This window comes from Homo sapiens, chromosome 2, assembly GCF_000001405.40.
Source record: "Homo sapiens chromosome 2, GRCh38.p14 Primary Assembly".
Taxonomy (NCBI): Eukaryota; Metazoa; Chordata; class Mammalia; order Primates; family Hominidae; genus Homo; species Homo sapiens.
Genome location: NC_000002.12, coordinates 23,523,939 through 23,539,784, shown reverse-complemented (window position 1 = coordinate 23,539,784; position 15,846 = coordinate 23,523,939). Strand labels below are relative to the sequence as shown.

Genomic DNA, 15,846 nt, shown 5'->3' with positions numbered 1-15,846 from the left:
AGGAAATACAATGTATGAAGGAGTCAGAAGGAGGTAGGATAATGGCCAGGTGCAGTGGCTCATGCCTACAATCCTAGCACTTTGGGAGACTGAGGAAGAGGGGTCACTTGAGCCCAGGAGTTCAAGACCAGCCTAGGCAACATAGTGAGACCCCATCTCTTAAAAAAAATACAAAAATCAGCTGGTGTGATGGTGCGCACCTGTAGTCCCAGCAACTCAGAAGGCTGGGGCAGGAGGACGGCTTGAGCCTGGGAGGCGGAGGTTACAGTGAGCCAAGATCACATCACTGCACTCCAGCCTGGGTGACAAAGTGAGACCCTGTCTCCAAAAAAAAAAAAAAAAAAAAAAAAAAGGAGGCAGGATAAGGCTAGCAAAGCATCATCAGTCTGCTAGGATTATTATTGTCTCATTTTTCTTATATACAGACATATTTTTGAGATAACTGAAATCAATTCCTTTCAACATCCAATCTTAAACAAGAATAAAACATTTTAGCCATTTAAAAGATAAAATATTCTGCAGTACACTGCATACTTCCCAATCTGCTGAACAGAATTGAACGTAACAGAGACACCTAGGGCTGTGAACCAGTACGATCCCCAGGACTCAGGGATCCAGGGTCCCTACACTCATCAGCCCTGGGTGGCTGCCGTGCTTTCTAAGCGTGGATATAAAATTTTAGAGTTTGGCAGTTGCTTCACCTCTGATTAGCTTCTAGCAAAATTTTCTTGCTGGTACGATCTTTCCCAGCCCTTCTCTTCATCCTTGCCAGATCAGGAGTTTGCAGAATTTGCTCTGAATTTGGAATGCATCTAATCAATCTTATAGTCAATTTGTATTTTTTAAAGAACAATTCTGAATTAAAGCCGGAGGGATTGATGATGAAGAAAGAACGAGATTTTGTGTGCACACATTTGGTGATGCCTATTTGTTTTGTCAGTCACTCAGAGATGCCTTCTGTTCTTTCTCTCAATCTAGGCTCCAAATCTCTAGGAAAGGTTTCCAGATCAGTGAGAACTGGTGGAACAAGCAAAGGCCCTGACAATCTTGCCACTCAGAACCTCTTATTCTGAAATAGATCAATGGCACAAATTGTTACACTGTCACAAATGTGCAGCCCAGACAGCTAACAGAGTGACATATTCCACAGTGTGTCCCTCCCCACAACCAAAGATCATTCTCACATTCACCCCCACAAAGCCACAGGCACACTCTTCTGAGTGTTTGGAATGGACGTTTCAGTCACGATTTTAGCTTCCTGTATGGCAGAGAGAGGCTGGGATCTGGGTAGCAAGGAGCTGACAAAGGATGACAGATAATCTCCTTGTTGAGGGTCTAGGCCAAAAGCTTTTAGACATCTTGATAAAGATAAAACAGAATAAGAATGGAGCCAAACAGATAGGAGGGAGAATTAGGAATTCCAGCTTTGCACCCATGCCATCTGGCTTCCTTAAAAGTGAAACTGACGTCAGGCATCTTTGTTTCTCAAAGTGTGGTCCTTAGGTCCAGCATCACTTGAGAGCTTTTAGAAATGCAGAATCCATTGAGAAGGGCTGCCTTACTTGGTTCATAATTCTATTTCTGTGGCCAAAGGAATCCTGGACTACGAGTCAAGAGAAACCCGAGATCCATCCTAGTTCTGCTACTTATTGGTGGTATGAATTTGAGTAAGTCCTTGCTCCTTCTGGTCTGTTTTCCCAAATACTAACTGGGGTCCAGCCAAACGGGCTCAGTGATCCACCCTCGTTCTAATTCTCAAAGTGAGATCTGTAGGTACCCTCAGTGCTTCTGGAGCAACTTTCCTTTACAGACCAGAGCCTCCTTTTTCCTCACACATAAATCATCATGGGGTTTTGGAAGTATTTCCTACTGTCATGAAGGCTGTGGCATGAATCCTGCCACCCTTTGGACACATTCCAAAGCCTCTAACAGCCCAAAGTGTCAAACCAGGATCCAATGAGCTCCTTGAGAACCCAGCCTTCCATCCCTAAGTAGACTTGGTGGTGCCAGCTGCCCTGAGCCCTGCCTCTCCAGTTTCCCACCCGACATGCAGCTTCTTGCAGGTGGCCAAGCTCCAGATGCCCCACATCTCAGCAAAGAGCGATGAACCATCCCTTCCCAAATACCCAGATGGGGCCTCCTACTTCCTTTAGTCCCTGCAGTTCTGTGCTCCAAATTCTGCCAACAGATGAATCCTAGTATCTTGTATGGTTATAACAACTCTGCATTCTAAGCACTAATGCACCTGACATAATATTGGGCATGAGTGGTTACACAGGATGCCTCCTCCCGATCTGCTGGAGAAGCGTGTGCGTGCCTGTGTGTGTGTGTGTGTGTGTGTGTGTGTGTGTGTGTGTGTGTGTGTGTAGTTTCTGCCCACCGCAGGAATCGGCAGCTCAAACTCAACTAGAAGTTACTCGTCCTTCCTAAAGGACTTTCAATGCCCTTCCCTGCACTGTAGTATGATGGAGAAGGCAAAAGGGGGAAGCAGACCCCTCCCACTGAGGCAACAGAGTGTTCAGAGGGTAGCCAGGGGCACAGAAGCGGCAGCACTGCCCATGAAGGGTGGTGGCAGTGGCACCCACCAACTGAATTAGCCGACAGAGCCCGAGAGCAACCAGTGACTGAAAGGGAACTCAGGACAAATGCAAATTCAGAGACAGAAAGTCAGACTGCAAGAAAGTGGCATCCAGGGGCAAGGTGGCGTGGGACCAGAGTAGCATGTGCACCTCAAGTTTCTGCCAAGAACAGGGACGTAACGGACAAAATGGGGATGCCAGCAGGTCCAGAACAGCCCTTTACACCACACCTGAAGGAGAGAGAGCGAGAGAGGGAGAGAGAGAGAGCGAGAGAGGGAGAGAGAGAGTGTGTGTGTGTGTGTGTGTGTGTGTGTGAGATCTGTCTTTCGCTATTTCGTTAGTAGGAAGGGAACCAGAAGTTTGTCTCAGAATGTCACTCTCTTTCCTTTACTATAGGCATGGTACCTACTTATCTACATCAACCAGAACATAAACAGTACAGAGCTTCTTTTCACAGCACAGGCTCGGGCCCTTCCAATAGATTCTTTCTTTGTCCTCCTAACGGCCTGACTGCAGCAAACCTTCACGGAGAGAGATCAGGACTCAAGAATCCAGCAGTATTTTATAAACGAAAAGGTTGGCAGCCCCCTTCACAGGCTGCTGTGCCGAGCTCTCTCTCCTCTGAGCATGGGAAGGGTTGCCTGTGAGTTTGATGGGCCAGGCCTTCTGCCATTCAAAGAACAAATCAAAAATGGTCCCTGAGGCAAAACGGGGAGAGTCAGCCTCCTTTAAACTCTCCACGGCAGGCCTGCTCAGGCCGGCACCAGCCCCCTGCTGCGACAAGTACCCGGGTATCATTCTGAATTACAGGCCAGGAGCCAACCCGCTCTGACAGCCAAGCTGCCGTCCACACAGCGTACTCTAATTTCCGCAGCTTGGAGCCCCTTGGGTCTTGAGGATGGGGTCACCCCAATCATGATGCTGGGAGTTGCTGGGGCGATAAAGTAAAATTCACCCCTCCATCATCAGCTTCAGGATACACGTTGCCCGAGAGAGTCAGATGGGAAAATCAAGTTAAACCAGTGGCGCGATATGTGGTCACCCACCTTTGTCTTGACAAAAGGACCTGGCATTTAGGAAGGATACCTGTCGCTCTGAAAGGGCCTGGCAGTCAGAGAGGGCTTCTGTTTCCCACATTTTGATTCTCAGACCAGAAACCACATCCTCTGCTAAGCAGTCCCCTGAATGATAACATTTAAAATGTTGAAATTTAAGGGGGCCAGGAGGCTGCCTTAGGCCTGGGATTCTTTCGTTGCTCTTCTTTATTCTTTTTATTGTAATCAAATATACAAAACCTAAAACCGACCATTTTAGCCATTTTATGTGTACACTTCAATGGCATTAAGTACATTCTCAATGTTGTGTAACTATCACCACGATCCACCTCCAAAATGTTTCATCTTTCCAAACTGAAACTCTGCCCACTAAAAACAATAACTCCCCTTTCCCGCCTCCCCGAAACCCTGGCACCCACCGTTCTACTTTCCGTCTCTATGAATTTGCTCTAGGTACCTCGTATAAGTGGACTCATACCATATTTATCCTTTCCTTTGTCTGGCTCATCTCATTTAGCATAATGTCTTCAAGGTTCATCTATGTTGTAGTAGGTATCCATGACTATAGCATTCCCTTTCTTTTTAAGGCTAGATAATATTCAATTGTATGTATACAACACATTTTGTGTATCCATTCATTAATTAATGGACACCTGAGTTGCTTCTACCTTTTGGCTATTGTGAATAATGCTGCTATTAACATGGGTATACAAATATCTGTTAGATTTTACATTAATTTTAATCTTCTCTTCTCCTGTGAGAGGCAGGCCTCAGCCTGTGGCCGTGTGAGGCTTGGCTCTGATTCTTTGGAGGCAGGCCAGGGTGAGGTCTCCTGGGAGAGGGTGGCGAGGCACCTGTGTGTGGAGTCCTAGCTCAGGACTTAAAGGGTTAAGTTCCACAAATGCAGAGACTGTTCTGTCTCTTTTCCTCCCAGAGCAATCCTGTGCCATGCTGGCATGAGCTGCATTTCCCAAGGCCACAGGAAGACCACAACAGGCCCCTGTATCCAGCCTGTCTGGTCAGGCCACATTTTAAAAAAATTAACTAATTTTATGGAGATATAATGTCCATAAAGTAACTGTCCAAATCTTAAGTGCACAGTCTGATGAGTTTTGACAAATGCATGCACCTGCCTAACCACCACCCCAATCATGATACAGACCATTTCCATCAGCCCAGAAAGTTCCTTTGTGCCAGACGCATTTTAGCAGCTGCTTTTAGGGCCAGTCGATACTGCTGCAGCATCAACAGGATTAGGGGATCCAAAAAGCCTGCAGGGGGTTCTAGGCTGTGAAATCCAAGATGCCCTCAGCTCTAAGTGACCAGAAAAGGCACTGTTTTTTCTTTCTAATTCTGCAGTTGACTAGTCACCCACAGTAGTCTGTCAAGGGAAGTTTTGAAGCACTGGAGCCTCAAAGAGACTGTGGGACCTCAGCTTCACTCAACAACTCAAAACACATCCACTCTATGAGCCTCTGTGCCATACACAGAGCTGGGCCCTGCTGTGGCAGGAAAGGGGCAGCTCAGTGTAGCTGGAGAGACACTGAGCAGAAGAGAAGGAAGACGGGAACTTGGGCTGGAACAGAAGTTAGCATCTGTGATGCTGCAAAGAAATAAGTCATTCTGGCTAAGGCCAAACAGGAAGGCTTCTCGGAGGTGGGGGCATTCATAGTAGCCTCTGAAAGGACGCAAAGGATTTCAATAGAAAACAATAAAGAGAGGAAAATTCCACGCTGGGAAGACATAATGTGTCAACAAAGGCATTGAGACATAATAACCATCACTTATTAAATGCCTGTTAAGGAACAGGCATTGGGCTAGGTGTTGCACAAATGTGATTTTATCTAATAAAAATAACAATGATGAGAAGGACCCTACAAGGTAAGTCATACTAACTGCAATGTGGCCAAGTGACTTCCCAGGTTCACAAAGCATTGTACCTGGATTCAACACCAGGTCTCATGATCTGAAGCCCCGGTTGTCCTGTTTCCTGTGCTGTGGGAAGAAACACGATAAAATGGGTGCTGCTCAGCGGGATGTCAGACAGGAATCCCTGGTTGCTTGGAAAGGCATCCCCGAAACCGGGGACTTTCAACTATTGGCGGGTCCTTACTTGGTTCAAATATCAATTAAAATATCAGGAGGACTATTACATACCCCAAAAAGAGCTGTGGAAACACCTCATAGCGCACACGTTTCTTTAAAAAAAAAAAAACAACAGACACCATAGGAAAGTCTCATGTATTTAAAATAAAGGGAGTTAATTAGTAAATTTGTTTTTTCTGAAAGCAGTCTTATTGATACAAAATAGCCCAAACCGGGTTCACAAAGGTTGAAAACAGAGTTAGCTTATAATTAGCATTTCAACTGTCCACAAGCGGATCTTCTAGATTGTCAGCACAAGGAAATTCTGTTCTCTTCATTGGCGTAAATGCCCCAATTCTTATTTACACTGTTAGTCCCGGGAGAGTGGGGGGTCCTCACACTGTTACAAATGCCATCACCCAGCCCAAACGCCGCACCCCATCTGCAGCTGCCAGGGAAGGAGCTTTCAGGGAGCTCCCAGGTCTCCCAGCTTTGATCTGCGAGCCAGCGCCAAGGCTCCCCAGAGGCTGCACAGAGCTGCATCTACGACCCAGGGCTCCTTGTTTTGCATCAGCTGCTTCACTCCCGGCAGAGGCTCACGTTTTCTCTGACGCCAAATGCCATGAATCCTGCTGGGCCAGGAGCTACAAGTCTCCACAGGACCCCTCCCTGCTTAGACCATCCCAGCTTTCTTTCCAAAGGGGGTAGAATGCCAGCCCCAGAGGGTGGGGGAACTCTCAGAAAAATACTTCCCTGGATGCAAGAGTCCGCATCAAACCCATGCCCTAGGACTAGCCCACAAGCAGCCACATCAGAAGGCACTGCTTACTTGTGCACACACAGATCTGCACACACTCACACATACGCATGGTTTCTCTGCTGCCTTTGACCCCCAGGCCTGCCGTATGTGTACACCTTTTCCTCCCCCAATATCTCCAAACCACTTTACGTGCTCAGGAAAAACTGAGAGACGCTCTCACACAGGGAAGCCACTGGTTGGCAGAAAATCCCTTGAACTCGTCAAAGACCAGGCCAGGCAGCACCTTCTGCTCCTCAGCTTGGGGGCCTGTGAGTTGCAGAGACGTAGAGGGAACCCTCCCCTCGGCCCCCAGGCTTTCTCACCGCCAGCTGAGCTCCTCCTCTCGGCCCACGTGCACACACAGCTGTGGGGCTGTCTCCCTTCTCAACAAAAGTTCGTCTCTCTCCAGTTGGTAGCCTGGAGCCGGGCCAATCCTCCCCTTACCCTGAACGCGCCTCGATTTGCAGAGGCCTGTGGCGAACAGTCTCCCTGCCCTGATCCTTCTCCCCGTGCAGAGGGTGTAGTGGGTGAGGCTGGGAACACACCTCCTCCCACCTGACACCCACCCCCATGCTGACCCCAAACCACAGGCCTCTAGTGAGCTCCCCACCGCCCAGGCCTCAGTCCCAAGTTAAGATAATCTTACAATCTTGTCACTCCAGTGGTGCATTCTTGAAGGAAGTGTTTTAGCTTCAAAGGAAAGTGAAAGTGAGATTTTAACATAGGAGCAAGAAAAAGTCTAACCTTGGCGATGCACATCCCACAAAGCTCCACTAGCAGGGGCCTGGGTGCCGCCCTGGGTGCTGCCCTGGGTGCAGAGGGTGCGTGGGCTCCCCATTCCCTTCACCAGCTCCCACCGTCTCCATTCTGCTTCAAGCCAAGCACACTGCAAACCAGAGTACTTTTTCTCCTTGCCAGTGAGCCGGTGTTGTCTATGTACTGCAGGAGGAGGCCATTACAGGGAGTTAATAGAGTTTTAAATTTGTTTTTAAATTTTACAATGCACTTCATCAAATTCAGTGTCTGAGCACAGCATCATGTTCAGACCAGGCAGCACATGTCAAATGGCCTCAGCCTTCCCCTCCACCCCTCTCCCACCAGGAAAGGTTAACTCTTTGGAGTAACTCCCAGGCATGGCCCCAGTGGAGCGGGTTCTGGTCTGTGGGGGGTCGTTGTGGAATAGGCCCAGTGGAAAGGCTGCTGACTTATTTGAGATGCTCTGGGCAGCTTCCATGGTCAAGGGCCGTCGAGGCTTCCACTGGGCCTTGGTCGTCCCGTTGAGGTCCCTTACTGAGGTGGCACTTGGGAGTCGTGGCGACTTGGTTCTTTCAGGTTCACATCTCTATGGTCCCAGGTGTCAAAGAGGGTGAGAAAGTATCCAGGGCACAGACGTGGAAAGCAAATAGTATAGTGCAGTCTGCTGATGAGGAACAGATGGGAGCACATTTCTGCTATTTTTCACCCAGAAGGATTTCCTTTAAGGACATGTTCAGCTGAACCTAGGATCATTATTGTAACTTGGGATCAGTTGCTGCGGAATTGGAAATAAGTGAGATTTATGGGCCCACGGTTTTGTGAAGAGCGTCTTGGGTACCAGGACTTGCGGCAGGTCTTCTCTGTCACTAACTGCAGTCAATCTGGCCTTTTATTAAGCTTTAATAAGTGACTCTGGTTCTAGGGAAAGTTCCGGAATAGATATTACTGGCAAGTGAAATCCCGTTGGTCCCAGGGCAGACTGCAATAAAGCAGCTCCGTCCTGGCGGCTCGGAGGCAGGGTCTCAGCTCACTGAGGCCACAGAGCCCCACGAGGGAGGCGGAGGGTCCCCTTGCCAGAGCAATCTGGTAGTGGGTGGGTGGGGGATGGAACTGATGGGGACGGTCGCCTGTTCTTCTCCCTTGAGCATCACAAAACTGAGCCTCACCCCCCAAATAGGTCCCATGTTGGCAGTGGTCTGCTTTTGAAACGTCCCAGGCAACAAGAACCCAACATGCCTGTTTTTGGTTAATGGAACCCACAGGGTGGCTGCACCCTGGTCCCAGCTGTCTGGCCACCACGTGGCAATGACTTTCGCTCACTATTTATTTGAAACTTGTCTGTACAGGTGACGAGGAGGAGACAGGCTTCTCAGCCAGGCTTCTGCCGAGTCCCAGATACAGTCCCAGCTTACCCCCTCTACCTCACTGTGCATCCAGGTGTCAACCTGAACTTTGCACTTCTTAAAACAAACATCCTACAGATAGAAAACGAACCCTTCTGTGAGGCCACACACCCAGTTAAACACCCCACCCTACTTTTCAACTCTGGGGAGACTCTGCCCATGTCTGCATCCTTCCAGACAGAGCTCTGTGCTCTGTGTATGGCTTCAGGTTTTCCATTTCTAAGTTCATACAGACACAAAGCTGGTGGGATGGGGCAAGAACCCTTGGTGGCCTCCACTCTCCTGAGCAGATTCAGAAGCAGATGCTAAGAACTGGGCCCAGGAGGGATGTGGGAGCTGGGGTGGAGCTGGGCTTGGCAGCTGGGCGGGGGCAGGGGATGGGCTGGGATGGAGGGAAGAGCATCTTGAGGTGATGGGAGTCTTTTTGCATTCAAGGGCTTGCTGGCTTCCAACTTGCTACTTACTGCATTGAAAAATATTCCACACGATGGAAGAACTATTTTCCAAAACAAAATGCTAGTATTCATCAGGAGGCGCGGGTTGTGCAGTGTGAACAATTCACTTTCGTTAAGTACCATATGGCCGCTGGTAGGAAAACGCTAACATGTTTCAACAGTACAGCTGGGGGAGGGCTCCTTTATTCACCGTGCAGATGGCTCTAATTGACATCTCTCCTAAAACAGGTCTCCAGCATTTCTGCAGGATCATTAGAGTAATTAGTTATTAAATACCATCACCACTTTTAGAGAGGGGGTCTGATCCTTGGCAACATTCCAGCGTGATGGAACTGACAGGTTGGGAGGACAAGCCGTGGGAGGGCCCATGGAAAGGGCTTACGAGCTCCTCCTCTTCAATGGCAAGGCCAGAAGAGGATAAAGACTTCGCTGATTCCAGAACAGCCTCCTGGAGAGAACTCAGGCACCCAGAGGGCTCTACGCCACAGTACTAGAGCCAGCCCTGCCTCTTTGGCAGTGTGACTGTGTACACCCCTCAACCACCCAGCCTCAATTTATTTATCCCTTAAATGGGGGTAATAGCAACTGCCCTTCCAGCCCTGCAGAACTGAAGCCACATATTGAAGAGCACATGGAAAGAGCCGGACTGAAGTGCCGCAGCTGAGCCGGTCCTGATGGCTGTGTTTGACACCTAGCTTGATCCATGCTCACCACTTTGGTGAGTGACAAGCCGTGGCCTCTCAGGACATGGGCACACCTGAGACTCAGTCCTCGATACTGCAACGGGCAAGCCTTTGTCATGCTGCGACCAGAGCTCAGTCTGCAAATGCGGCCCCCCAGGCTGTCTCAGGACGGGTGGCGGGCTCAGCCCTGCCTCCATGAACCCCAGAGCCAGCCCGCAGGTGGAGGCTGGTCTAAGCTAGGTCCTGTTTCTGTACTAGACCTATTATACTCTACTCCCCAAACCAGCCCTTGAAAACAGCCCTCACACCTGCCCTCACTCGCCTCTTCGGTATGCTCATCACCTCCAATCAGCCAGGTCTATACCAAGCCTGTGCTTTGGTGGGGGCGGGTGGGCAACAGGGGCTGAGGTGGGGGGAAGGGAGAAGCAAAATAAGAAAAACCATGACCCCTGCTCTCTCTCATGAGACTGAACACACAAAGGTCTCAGCAAACCCCATACTGCAGCATGCATAGTGGTGGAGTGAACCCAATATCCATTTTAAAATGGAGCTCTTAGCCAGCTGCAGGGGCTCATGCCTGCAATCCCAGTGCCTTGGGAGGCTGAGGCGGGAGGATTGCTTTAGGCCAGGAGTTCAAGACCAGCCTGGGCAACATAGCAAGACCCCCATCTCTACAGAAAATGGGGAAAAAAATTAGCCAGGTGTGGTGGTGTGCATCTGTAGTCCCAGCTACTTGGGAGGCTGAGGCTGTAAGATCCCTTGATCTCAGGAGTTCTAGGCCTCAGTGAGCTATGATCGTGCCACTGCACACTGCAGCCTGCGTGACAGAGCAAGAACTTGTCTCTAAAAAAAATTAGTAAAAAGGGGCTTTTCAGCCAGTACTATATACTTCGGCCCTACGTATGGTTAGAGGGTGGCTCAGCATCATCCCCAAAGAGAGGTTTCTAGTGACAAGAGGCTTAAGGGTGGGCTGGGGGCCATGAGGATCACACTTTCAGCAGAAGTTCTGAGTCCCACTCCCAAGGCCCAAGGGGCACCCCTACCCCAGCCAACTTGCAGACTCGGTTCTATCTTGGCCTTCCACACCACACACACGGCAGCACCGCCAGGGTGGCCGCAGAGATAGCACTGCGAGTCAGGCTGCGCTGGCAGGAAAGAAAGGCGGTCTGGGGATGTGTGCGCCCCTAGGATTTCTTTAAAAAAGTAAATACGTGTGTCCAAAGGGTAATATGGATCTAGGAAGTAGCCTTCACTTTGAGCTCAGTCCCCATTGATTGAGGGTTAACAGCGTGACATTATTAGTTTAATTTCACAGTCTAATCAGTTTCCTGCTTTATTGATCAAAGGACTTGGAGCAATTGTAATTTTGGGAGGCTGAAAAGTGAAATTCTGGGCTAAGGGAATAAAGCCTGGAGGCTCTCTGGGCTCAGGGTCCATGCAAGGGAGCGCGTGGCCTCGTCCTGTACAGCCCACCTTATAAGGGCTGCAGGGTCCACAGGTGACATCTCCAGTCACGTCTTCTTCCTCCCACTGTTGAACCACACGGAGAGTGCAGGAACTAGTGACTAACCAGCATCGGAAATGGAGACCAGCCTCGGAAACAGCCCCTCGCCCCACAACACCCAATCCCACACCCACCTCCAGCCATTCCGAGCCCCAAACCGGCCCAGGGCTTCATTGTTAAACACCCTCCGTCAGCAGAGCCCCATCTGTGCGATGGAATTTTTTTTTGTCACTTTTTCAAATCAGAATAGAAACAATTTTTAGTCTATAATTACCATTTCTTTTCTCAACAGACAAATGTTTCCTTTTAAATTGTAGGGCAGAAAAAGCAAAGAACAACATTTTAAACCAAAAAGAAAGACTAAAATTAATTTCTTCTTTACAGAAAAATAAAATACAACAGCTCTTAGAAGCCAGGTTTTTCTTTTCCCAAAAGAGCAACAAATGCAACAGTGTATTCACAGCCGCCATTAACTCCCATTTTAGAGGCAGGTCCCAGAGGGGTGGTGGTGATGGGGTCTGCAGTAGCCTGGGGGCCTTGCACCTTGATCTCCTGGCAGAGCCTGGGCTGCTCCTGATGTCTACGTTTGGTTGGGATGAATGGTCCAAAACCTTCAATGCAGAAAGCTGACTCGGGGTTTAGGGCTCCAGGAATCAAGATCAAGGCCTGGGGACTACCAGTTGCTCCTATGGAGGCTTGGGGTGTAAGCTAACCACCTGGCCCTCAGTTTCCTCACCTCTGAAATGAGAGCACAACCCATGTGGCGAGGTTGTTGGACAATTTCGTGGGCTGCGTGTTTTGGAACTCGAGAACACTGAACCAATCCTACTGCTTTCACCGTGCTGTCAAGACCAAGCCGACTCTTCGCTGAGAAAGGCTCTAGCTCTGTGCCCGGAGATGAACAGCCTCTAAGTTCTGCTCACAGCCTCTAAGTTCTGCTCACAGCTTTCTAAGCAGGCAAGCCTCTCCACCCACCCCAGGAAAGGGCAGTCCTTCCCTGCTCTGGGCTCCACAGTCTCTGAGCAGGCAGAAGGGATGCTGCAGACAGCATGGCGGGGCTTTTGCTGGGCAACACCCACGAGGGCCCTGCAGACACAGTGTGGTATACTAATGCTGCCCAGCCCCCACCCTGGGGTGGCTGGGGGGCGTGATTCTGAGGGAGGGGCAAGCACGTGCTGGCTCTAAAGGGGAGAAGAAGCAGGTCGCATTTAAGGACTGGAAAGAGGTCCAGTGTAGCTGGGCAGGGCCTGCTCAGGTGATGAAGCAGAGGCAGGAAACACACGTGTCCTCCGTGTGAGCCGTGTCTAGGGTCTGGGAGCCCATGTTAAGGAGCCTGGTTTCAGAATGGGCCAACATGGCCACCGTCGCCCAGTTCTCCTGGTTGAGGCTCCATCCCCACTCCCCATCCTAGCTTCCTAGCAGGGAAGTGACACAACACATGTCCACCAACGCAGGATACCAGCCCCGTGTGGTCACTGCTCAGCCCACCATGCTAACCCCGAGCACGAAACCCTGCGGGGGCTCCCTGTTACCCAGAGCTATACTGGTAAATGTTTAACACCCGGCTCTGCTGGTGGTGGTGGACAAAAAAAACCCACCCAGACCCTGATGTGCATGCAGCGTTCATCAGTTTCTGTTGTATAAATATTCCCACTGTGGCCGTTTCGAGCTACCAAGGTGCTGTCTCCTAATGAGGAGCTGGGAAGAGACGTTAACAATGGGCTCTTGGGAGCCACGGAGCCAACCCCAGCTCACCCCACGCTAGAGACTTGTGAGCTGGGTGTGGAGGGCAGGCCACAAAGGTGCTGCTCTGGACCCACGGCTGCTGCTGCTCTATGACCATGAGGAGGCCAGGTCACTCTGGTAGGCAGAGGGCAGAGCAGGCCACCAGCCCACTAGGCTCCTCTCTCTCCCCTCCAACCTTCAGTGGTTTTTCCCACCATCTGCTGGATCTCGTCCAGACACCTCACCTGGAATTCAGGGCGTCTCAGGCTCTCTCCAGGCTCTCCTCCCCCGGCCCCTGCAGAGCCCTCTGCACCAGCCTCGTGCCTCCTCGGCGTTCCTTAGTCACGCATGGGCTGTCCCGCTGCCAGGCCAAGAGCGCAGCATTTGTGGTCCCTCTGCCTTCGATGCCACCCCTCCCGCATGCCCTGACCACAGCTCTGGTTTCCCCTCCCCTGTGACGCTTCCTCCGACCGCCCACGTTCCTCTGAACTGCATGCGCTGGCAATGAACACCACGACTGCACGTGGGCATCCCCTGCCAGACTGCACACTCCATGCAGCTTCCTCTAGAACAAAGGCTCCAGAATCTTCTACTCAATGACTTAACACTCCTCACGATGGGATCCCTATTCCAGGTTTTTCCTAACCTGCTTTTCCCTTTCAGCCTTTACCTTCCTCTCAAGGAAGCAGAGGAGGGCAAACATTAGGGCCCAACATCCACGCTTCTGAGGACACAATGGCTGCAGGTCCACGGATGTCAGGGACGTGACTTGCCATGGCCAGATGAGGCCAGAAGGGTGGCTGGGTTGCATCGGGAGGAAGCTTCGTGCCAGCTCCAGGCCACAGTAAGACAATCACATCAGGACAGGTGGGGCCTGGGGCAGCAACACAGGATCCCTAGAATGAGCCCGAATAGGTGGAAAAAGGCAACTGGGCGTCCTGCGCACCTGATAGCTTTCTAAAAATAGCGGGTGGGCCCTGGCTCTGCTGGCTCGCCTCGGGTGGGGGGGGGGGGCAGGGGCTGGGGCTCACTCGGCCTCTGGGGAGCGAGGAAAGTCCCAGCAGGTTCCATGCCTTACTCTTCCCAGGCAGGGCAAAACCAGGCCCCTCGCCGCCAAGCTCAGGACGGGGGTCTGGGCCTTGCTCCTGCATCTCCTCCCCCTTAGCTCCATCCCACTGCCTGGCCAGAAGGAACTGTCCCTTGGCTGCTGGTCACGCAGGAGAGAGAGGAAGGGAGACAGGGCAAGAGCAGATGCCAGCAAGCTCCGGCCACCATTTCTTCTTGGCCATGGAAGCTGGGTACACAGACATTCTCCTCAAACCAAGGCACTGACGGCATTGAACAGAAATGTCATGGTCTGAAGCCACGTGGTGTAGCGGAAAACAAGAAAAGAAGAAATAAATTCTCTGGGCCAAACCCCAGAAGTGTCCTCTGCCCTCCCAGTCCCGCAGGCTCAGGGACAGGCAGTGGGCAAGGAGACAAAGAGAAAGTTCTTCTCTTCCAGGCGTGGGCCTGGCCTTAGCCTGTATTCTCAGTCCTCAAGTCTTCTCTGGCTTTTTCCTCCCTCCTACGTGCCGAGACAGGAATACTTAGCTCCCAGCACCTTGAAGTCAGGCATTTGGCCTCCCCTCCCAGCATCAGTGCCATAGCTGCACCTGGAGTGCTCAGCTGATTTGAGGAGATCTTTTAAAAACAAATCTCATTCATTAAAAGTAACAGTATGTATTCTTACGAGCCAGAATGTCAGCACATTTTAGAGATCACTAAGTCATCCAGCTGAGAACCAAAGTCTGAGAGAGTTTGGATAAAAAAAATTACAGGCAGCAAAATTACTTTTAAGATCCCCATGAAATAGAAATGGCCTCCCTCCCCACATGGAAAATGCCTTCCAATTCTTTTGCTGAGAGGCAGGAAGCCTGGGAGGCTTTTGTTTTCCTGTAATGTTTTCATACCAAATGTGTTCTGCTCACCATGAAGTCCTTCAGAAACTTTGACTTTTAAATCCAGCTTTCTGGACTCTTGGGAGGGACACATGCACAGCACTGGAAAGGGTGGCAAGGCCAGCAAAGGAACGGAACAGATCGAATCAGAGGTGTCCTCTCAACCACCTCGTCCCTCCACCCACCCCCTCTCTGAGTTGAAGGCCACAGATGCCCGCAAGCATGTTCCTCCTCACTTGGGCAGAGCAGAGATCATGTTGCTGAAATGTGACACCCAGCCCACTGGCCTGCCAGCCGTGTGGCCACCCTGGCACCAGTGCACGCGCGAGCCGCCCACCCGTGAGCCATGAACATCCATCACCGTGACTCACAGCTGCTGCCCTGCTTCTCCTGCCGACGCCTCCCGGGAGCCCGGGGCAGGACCTAAAGGTATTTCCTGGCCTGCTACTTCCTGGGTCTTCCTGAGCCCCTCCGAGCCAAGGCCGGCCCAGCAGGCGCCTGTGCTTCTGTAGTCTCTTCTGCCCTGCCTGCCCGCTCTGGGTTTGGTGTAATAGAAAGAGATGTGGATGAGGAGCCGGGCACTTGGGCCTGGGTGGCTCTGCCACTCCCTAGCACAGCACTGAGCAAGTCATCCCCCGCTCCAGCATCGGCTTCCTTTTCCGAGAAATGGGAACACTTGCATCTCCGCTACCTACGACACTGAGGTGTCATGGGGAGAAAAAACCCTAGATGGGGAAGGCCTTCGGAAGAGGAAGGCATGCTGGTAAAAAAAACTCATTCACATGACAGAGCAACGCTGGTGGTGTTTAGGCAAGCTCCCGAAAGACGCATGGAATCTTCTCTTTACGAGGTAAGTACTTAC

The 15,846-nt window shown here is 50.9% G+C and overlaps 1 protein-coding gene and 1 long non-coding RNA gene across 3 annotated transcripts in view, besides 3 other annotated features; one reads left to right on the top strand and one right to left on the bottom strand.

Moving 5' to 3' along the window:
* KLHL29 (kelch like family member 29) overlaps positions 1-15,846 on the bottom strand; it is a 323,428-nt gene that overhangs the window by 168,822 nt on the left and 138,760 nt on the right. The window lies entirely within an intron of this gene.
* Positions 2,993-3,868: an enhancer, noted in NCBI's record as "H3K4me1 hESC enhancer chr2:23758787-23759662 (GRCh37/hg19 assembly coordinates)". NCBI's record gives its function as "activates a minimal SCP1, AML or CMV promoter by ChIP-STARR-seq in naive H9 embryonic stem cells {active_cell/tissue: H9 hESC(naive)}" and the evidence as "EXISTENCE:reporter gene assay evidence [ECO:0000049][PMID:30033119]".
* Positions 6,732-6,791: an enhancer, noted in NCBI's record as "active region_15414". NCBI's record gives its function as "activates an Ori minimal core promoter by ATAC-STARR-seq in GM12878 lymphoblastoid cells {active_cell/tissue: GM12878}" and the evidence as "EXISTENCE:reporter gene assay evidence [ECO:0000049][PMID:35858748]".
* The window catches only part of LOC105374325 (uncharacterized), a 28,384-nt gene continuing 22,014 nt past the window's right edge, over positions 9,477-15,846 (top strand). Inside the window, exon 1 of the long non-coding RNA XR_939831.2 lies at positions 9,477-15,834. This is a non-coding gene — a long non-coding RNA (uncharacterized LOC105374325). The remainder of the gene's footprint in view (positions 15,835-15,846) is intronic.
* Positions 15,382-15,846: part of an enhancer, noted in NCBI's record as "CDK7 strongly-dependent group 2 enhancer chr2:23746074-23747273 (GRCh37/hg19 assembly coordinates)", that runs on past the window's edge. NCBI's record gives its function as "activates an origin of replication core promoter dependent on BRD2, BRD4, P300/CBP, MED14 and CDK7 cofactors, with strong dependence on CDK7, by STARR-seq in HCT116 cells {active_cell/tissue: HCT116}" and the evidence as "EXISTENCE:reporter gene assay evidence [ECO:0000049][PMID:35650434]".